The 7704-nt window shown below is 48.3% G+C and overlaps 2 annotated features.

The window, feature by feature from the left end:
* Positions 781 to 1075: an enhancer, noted in NCBI's record as "tiled region #817; K562 Activating non-DNase unmatched - State 21:Repr". NCBI's record gives its function as "activates a minimal TATA promoter and a strong SV40 promoter by Sharpr-MPRA in K562 cells {active_cell/tissue: K562}" and the evidence as "EXISTENCE:reporter gene assay evidence [ECO:0000049][PMID:27701403]".
* Positions 781 to 1075: a silencer, noted in NCBI's record as "tiled region #817; HepG2 Repressive non-DNase unmatched - State 22:ReprW". NCBI's record gives its function as "represses a minimal TATA promoter and a strong SV40 promoter by Sharpr-MPRA in HepG2 cells {active_cell/tissue: HepG2}" and the evidence as "EXISTENCE:reporter gene assay evidence [ECO:0000049][PMID:27701403]".

The following is a 7704-nucleotide window of genomic DNA, read 5'->3' on the forward strand; positions in this document are numbered from 1 at the left end:
TGGCTAATTTTAATTTTTTTGTGTAGAGACAGAGTTTTGCTATGTTGCCCAGGCTGGTCTCAAACTCCTGGCCTCAAATGATCCTCCCACCTTGGCCTCCTGAAGTGCTGGAATTACGGGCATGAGCCACCATGCCCAGCTTGGATTTCTTTTCCTCCATGAAAATGATGTTTCCACTGAGATAAGAAATTTAAAGGGGAGACTGACACTGGTGGGATCAGGCAGTGTAGACACTTCATTTTAGCTCAATAATTCCAGCCAAAATTGTTCTGTTCCATTTAGTGCTGGGAAATGGGTCTTAGTTTTTCTTGCTCCAAATACTTTACACAGTATCAGAAGCAATATGTGGGGTCTTGGGAATGAGGCATTTTCTGATGATGCTGGGTGATCCTGTGGGTGGAGGGATGCTAGGAAGAGAGAAATTGATACAGGACATAGATATTATTTAGGCAGAAATTATTTAGCCACTGCCCCCTCCATCTTCCCTTTTCCTTGTCACCATGTGTACAGTAAAGAACCAGGCGGCCGGGCGCGGTGGCTCACGCCTGTAATCCCAGCACTTTGGGAGGCCGAGGCGGGCAGAACACGAGGTCAGGAGATGGAGACCATCCTGGCTAACATGGTGAAACCCTGTCTCTACTAAAAATACAAAAATTAGCAGGGCATGCTGGTGGGTACCTATAGTCCCAGCTACTTGGGAGGCTGAGGCAGGAGAACAGCGTGAACCCGGGAGGTGGAGCTTGCAGTGAGCTGAGATCGCGCCACAGCACTCCAGCCTGGGAGACAGAGCGAGATTCCATCTCAAAAGAAAAAAAAAAAAAAGAGAATCAGGCAACTTGGTTCTAGCCAAATAGAGAACCCATCTGCATAATGAAAGATTTTGGTGGGGTGACCAGCTTTTCACTCCCTATGCAAATGGCACACCTAGCCCTAACCGGTTTTTCCTGCCCTATGCAAATGGCATACGTGGTCCGACCAATCTTTTGTGCCCTATGTAAATCGGACACCGCATCCTCAAACTCATCTATAAAACCTTCTGCATGCATTGCACCACAGAAGTGGGAAACCCGTTCAGGACCGTCTCTCTGCAGGAGAGAGCGCTTCTTTTTCTTTTGCCTATTAAACCTCCACGCTTAACATCACTCCTTGTGTGCCTGCGTCCTTGATTTCCTTGGCATGAGACAATGAATATCAGGTATCACCCCAGACAACGAGGCCGCTTCAAAATCACCATGTCCTTCCCAGGGGTTCCCCAGGGAGGAAAAGCCCTGAGGACAAAGGAAGTCTGCATAGGAAAGTGGAAGGTACTTGAACCTCTGTAATTAGGTTTGAATGTCGATCTGTTGGTTGTTTGTTTCATACACTACAAACTATGGAATAATTTTGGATGGTGGTGGTGGCAATGGTGGAAATGGGTATATAGACCTCCTAGTGGGGGGCCAGACAATTTGAACCAATGGATTTAACAGGAGAAAATACCAGCTTAGGGGCAGCAGAAACTTGAGAAAAATCCAATAGGAGGGTTATTTGTTGGCTGGATACACCCTGAGGAGGCAGGTCAGACTCTGGAGCTGCTGGTTGGAGGAAGAAATGGGCAGGCCTGCCATGGATGGTTGTGTGGTTTGTGCACTGAACAAAGGCAACAGATGGAAGGTGTAGGTGGGGCTGAATTCCAGTATGTGTTTTGCTGGCCAAGCCATGTGGCATGACATAGGCTTGCTTCTACCCAGAGGAAAGGATGCTTGTTTCTTTGCACAAAGATGCCTTCTCTCACCAGACTATGCATGCATAGTGCTGTATCTGCTCGTTTGCATGAGGTTACTGTATAGGTTTGCAGGATCCAGGGCTTGTGGGCCAAAGTACTTGAGCTCTGGGAGCTGAGGGTGGAGATGGTCCACATCCCGGGGTCTGCACAATGCATTGTTCTCCTGGAGTGGAATGACTCTCCTCCTCTGAGTCAGCATCAAGACCACCTTGAAGCATGATTGTCAAACTGATTTTCAGGGCTCTGGCTTTCTGGTATACCACGCCCTTCTTCAGGGCTGAAACACTGGTCATTTTGTTAGCAAAATACAAATATTTCATGGTCTTCAAATAGATGGACATCTAAATCATTTATATTTTGAGATGATTAGTGACTGAGCTACTTAATTCGTGCAAACAGATTCACCAAGTGCAGTCTGCAAGTCTTGCCAGGCTTGGCCCTGTGCAAGTTACAAGAATTTATCACCTTGTGACTATGTGTTGGCAAAGCTTTGATGGTAAGAGTATGTCTCTCTCTGTGAAAGATGTTCAAATCAAGTGGCCCAGTGGCTCTTCCATGCCTTGGAGGGAGCTGTGAAGAGTTCTGTAAGGGGTCCTAAAAGGGGGAAGGAAATCTGTGTCATGCCAAGTGGCTTGGCCAGCAAACTACACACTGGAATTCCACCCCACCTCCCACTTCCACTTGTTGCCTTTGTTCAGTGCACAAACCACGCAACCATCCGTGGCAGGCCTGCCCATTTCTTCCTCCAACCAGCACCTCAGGAGTCCGACCTGCTTCCTCTGGGCCTATGCAGGGGGTTGCAGAGCAGCCTGAGATGGGGATGTGGAAGCTGAAGGGTGAGCCGAGAGCTCCCTGCAGCATATAGAGGATAGCCTAGTTAAGTAGAGCATAGCCCAGTTTAGGGGCGGCAGAAACTTGAGAAAGGTCAAACAGGAGGGTTATTTGTGGGCTGGATATGCCCTGTGGAGGCAGGTCAGACTCTGGAAAATGCTGGTTGGAAGAAGAAATGGTTAGGCCTGCCATGGATGGTTGTGTGGTTTGTGCACTGAACAAAGTGCAAGGATGCTCCCCCAGCATGGGGTTCATCTGTCCTTGTTAAGTATGTGTGGAACATCCCTTGCTGGACTGGGGGTGTGTGCTGAGCACGCCATCCTCTGCTAGGCCACCAGGCTCTGATGTGCTTCTTGGACTCTTAATGGCAAAGGGTACCCTTCTGAGCCCCTAACCAGCATCACCCAGCTGGTTCCACAACTGTCCTCCTTCAGGAAAAGAGCATGGAGAGACTCAAAGCTCAAGTGCATTCTGGCAATCTTGAAGTTTAACCCTCATTAAGAAACTCCCTCATCCTTTTGTGTTCTGGATAATGGCTTACTGCAAAAACCCCCTGTATTAGTCTGTTTCACATTGCTATAACAGAATACTTGAGACTGGGACATGTATTAAAAAAGGAGGTTTATTTGGCTCATGGTCCTGCAGGCTGTGCAAGAAGCTTGATGCCAGCATCTGGTTCTGGTGAGGCCTCAGGAAGCTTCTAATCATGGCAGAAGGTGAGTGGGGAGCAGGTGTGTCACATGACGAGAAATGTGTGTCTTTTTTTTTTTTTTTTTGGAGACAGGGTCTCACTCTGTCGCCCACGCTGGAGTGCAGTGGTGCAATATCAACTCACTGCAACCTTTGACTCTCAGGCTCAAGCCATTCTCCTGCCTCAGCCTCCTGAGTAGCTGGGACCACAGGCACCCGCCACCACACCCAGCTAATTTTTGTATATTTTGTAGAGATGGGGTTTTGTCGTGTTGCCCAGGCTGGCCTTGAACTCCTGGGCTCAGGTGATCTGCACTCCTTGGCCTCCTAAAGTGCTGGGATTATAGGTGTGAGCCACCATGCCCAGCTGACATGCCAGGCCCTTTAAACAAGCAGCTCTTGAATGAACTCATTACCATGGGGAGGTCACCAAGCCATTCACGAAGGATCTACCAGAAAAGCCCCCACCAAGCCCCACCAAGCCCCACCTCCAACATTAGAGGTCACATTTCAACATGAGATTAGGAGGAGGCACACATCCAAACCATATTATTCCCCCTTTCCCAAATACCTAAGACTCTCAGATGCTCCCATTGTTACCGATGACAAGGCTAGATGAGGACCCTCTAAATTCCCATTCTTTGCTTCATAAGTGATTAGCCGAGGCTGGGCATGGTGGCTCATGCCTGTAATCCCAGCACTTTGGGAGGCCGAGGTGGGCGGATCACTTGAGTTCATGAGTTTGAGACCAGCCTGGCCAATATGGTGAAACCCCATCTCTACTAAAAATATAAAAATTAGCTGGGTGTGGTGGTGCACATCTGTGGTCCCAGCTACTCGGGAGGCTGAGGTGGGAGAATTGCTTGAGCCTAGGAGGCAGAGGTTGCAGTGAGCTGAGATCGTGCCATTGTACTCCAGCCTGGGCTATAGAGTAAGAGTCTGTCTCAAAAAAAAAATAAATAAATAAAAAAGAAAGAAAATGAGTAATTAGAAGTAATTAGCTGAGATACTTGTCTCCACTGATCAGTGGGAATAAAATGCTTGTTAACTGAATATTGGTCCAGCTTCCCTCCTTCCCCCAGGCCCCTGAACTGTGGCCAGCCAGCAGCCTGATGGCAGACAGCCCCTCTTGGGAACAGGCTGGCTTCGGGGTAAAACATGCCCTGACCTGCTATCTGATCACACCCCCTTTCATCTCACTTCCCACACCTTGTTCTTTCCAGTCTCACTTATCCCTTTCTATAAAAGAAAATCTCTTTTGGCCTAATTCTCATTTATTTATTTATTTTTTAGATAGTGTCTCATTCTATTGCCCAGGCTGCAGTACAGTCGGGCTGATCATAGCTGACTGCAGCTTCCAACTCCTGGGCTTAAGTGATCCTCCTGCCTCAGCCTCCTGAGTAGCTGGGACTATAGACACGTGCCACCATGCCCGGCTACTTTTAAAAAATCTCTTGTAGTGATGGGGTCTCGCTATGTTGCCCAGGCTGGTCTTGAACTCCTGACCTCAAGTGATCTCCCTGTCTCAGTCTTCCAAAGCACTGGGATTCCAGGGGTAAGCCACCATGCTGGTTTTCTTTTTGCCTAGCTGTTGAGACATCTGCAGAGTTTGTTGTCACAGTGCTTTTCTTTTTCCAATAGTTTCCTCTCCTATTATGATAGCCCCTTTCCCTCCACCTGCAATAATCTTTTCAAATAAGAAGTCTCTCTTTAGTAATCCATAGTTTAAAAAATTTGACAGTCCAGGCTGGGAGCAGTGGCTCACGCCTGTAATCCCAGCACTTTGGGAGTCGAGGTGGGTGGATCATCTGAGGTCAGGGGTTCAAGACTAGCCTGGCCAACATGGCGAAACCCCATCTCCACTAAAAATACAAAAATTAGTTGGGTGTGGTGGCGGGTGCCTGTAGTCTTAGCTGCTCAGGAGGCTGACGCAGGAGGTCGCTTGAACCTGGGAAGCGGAGGTTGCAGTGAGCCCAGACAGCGCCATTGCACTCCAGCCTGGGCTACAGAATGGGACTCTGTCTCAAAAAAAAAAAAAAAAAAAAAAAAAAAAGACAGTCCTAAGAAAGCTATAGTCTCCTACCAGGGCCAGGATTGGTCATTTTGTCCTTCTGCTGATTGCCATGAGGCATGTAGGTAGACGTGCATCAGCTTTTGGGGTGGCACCGAATGCAGTCACAGGCACCCACCATCCCGATCTGGCCTGCTCTCAGGGACTAAGCACGTGCAACAGGGCTTGCATTTGAATGAGAACTCAATGTTTGGCATGAGAAGCAGTCAGTGACACCAAGAACCATCTACCAAATAGAAGCGGGCAGTGATGACACTAAGGATTTATGCGGAATCTAGACCCTTAGGTGGTAATTATTTTAAAAAATGCCACTTTATGTGTCCGAAAGAATACCAACAAGGTCTCAATTTATAATCCTCAGTCACACTTTTCGAAACCCTTTTCCCACCCTTGTTTGCATTTTCCACGGCAGATCCACAAACCAGTCCCTGCCAAACCCAGACTTTCTCCTCCTTAGCCTTTGTTTCAGTCTGTGTGGGCTGCTATAACCAAATATAATAAACTGGGTAACTTTTTTTTTTTTTTTTTTTTTTTTGAGAAGGAGTCTCACTCTGTTGCCCAGGCTGGAGTGCAGTGGCTTAATCTTGGCTCACTGAAACCTCTGCCTCCTTGGTTCAAGCGATTCTCCTGCCTCGGTCTCCCAAGTAGCTGGGATTACAGGCACCCACCACCATGCCCAGCTAACTTTTGTATTTTTAGTAGAGACAGGGTTTCACCATGTTGGCCAGGCTGGCCTTGAACCCCTGACTTCAGGTAATCTGCCTGCCTTGGCCTCCCAAAGTACTAGGATTACAAGCGTGAGCCACCACGCCCAGCCAACTGGGTAGCTTTTAAATGACGGAAATTTATTTCTCACAGTTTTGGAGGCTGGAAAGTCCACAGTCAAGGTGCCAGCAGGGTTAAGGTCTGGTAAGCGATGCTTTCTGGTTCATAGATGGTGTCTCCTAGCTGTGTCTTCACATGTTGGAAGGGGTGAGCTAGCTCTTTGGGGTCCCTTTTATAAGGGCACTAATCCCATTCATAAGGGCCCCACCCTCATAGACCTAATCACCTCCCAAAGGCCCCACCTCCTAACAGCATCACATTGGGTATTAGATTTGGACGTATTTATTTTGGGGGGGCAGAAACATTCAGATCACGACAGTCCTGGCGTTAGTGACTCCACCGCATCCTCTCCTTTTTCCACAGCTTTTTACGATGTCAATCAATTTAGCTTCTTTTATGAAGGCCTCCAATCCCAAGCCTCTCAGATCTCATTTGGCCTCATGAAGCATTCTAGAACCCAGGGACTAGACTGATTTTTATTTATTATCATTTGATTTTAATTTTATTTTTGAGACATAAAAATAAGCTCTGTCATCTAGGCAGGAGTGCAGTGACCCCATCATAGCTCACTGCAGCCTCAAACTCCTGGACTCAAGTGATCATCCAGCCTCCAGCTCCCAAGAAACAGGAACTACAGGAATGTCTCACCATGCCAGGCTAATTTTTGTATTTTTTTGTAGAGACGGGGTCTCCCTATGTTGCCCAGGCTGGTCTTGAACTCCTGGGCTCAAGTAACCCTCCTGCCTCAGCCTCCCAAAGTGCTGGGATTACAGGCATAAGCCGCTGTGCCCAGTCTGAGATATATTTTTTTAAAAGCAGGACGAGGGAGAGGGAGTGAGATGAGGGAGGTAGGAGAAATCTCACCTGTTAATAAATCTTGCTTCTGTCACATTGTCATGGGGGGCACAGCATGAAAAGGGCTTTAAGAGAAATCCAAACACAATGCTGTGGGGTTCTTGGGGTGAGCCGGCTCCACACGGTGCTGCCAAGGGCACTGTCTTGCTGCTAATCCATCTGCCCTGATGCAGGCCGAGTGCAGAGACCTGCAGTGGTGCATGCTGCGCTGGGGTCAGCTTCCAGATGTAACAAATGTGTTACAAGCCGGTTCAACCTCTAGCGATTGTAGGGTGAATTAGAGCTTGGAGAGCCATGGAGCTGATGGAGGAGTAAAGGAGCAAGAGGACTTCTTCCATGGAGGCCCTTCAGCCTCCATGGGTATGCTGGGTTATGAGGGTTTGCCGGCTGCCTTAGGCTGGGTTGGGGTGAACTGTGAAAATTCCTTGTGTTGGCTTACTGGCTACACATCCAGCTTGCAGCCCTGTGTCAGAACCCGGGCTGTGTGGCAGCTGGCAGTAATCTGGCTGGATGATCAGGCTTTGAATGTAGGCAGCCTCCCAGCTCCAGAACTTCCCTCCCCACCTACACACACACACACACACACACACACACACACACACACACACACACACACACGCATTTGTTTCAGAAAAACATTTACTGGTCACCTATTTTGATCAGGGAA

The sequence above is a fragment of the Homo sapiens genome, chromosome 7 (assembly GCF_000001405.40).
Source record: "Homo sapiens chromosome 7, GRCh38.p14 Primary Assembly".
NCBI lineage: Eukaryota > Metazoa > Chordata > Mammalia > Primates > Hominidae > Homo > Homo sapiens.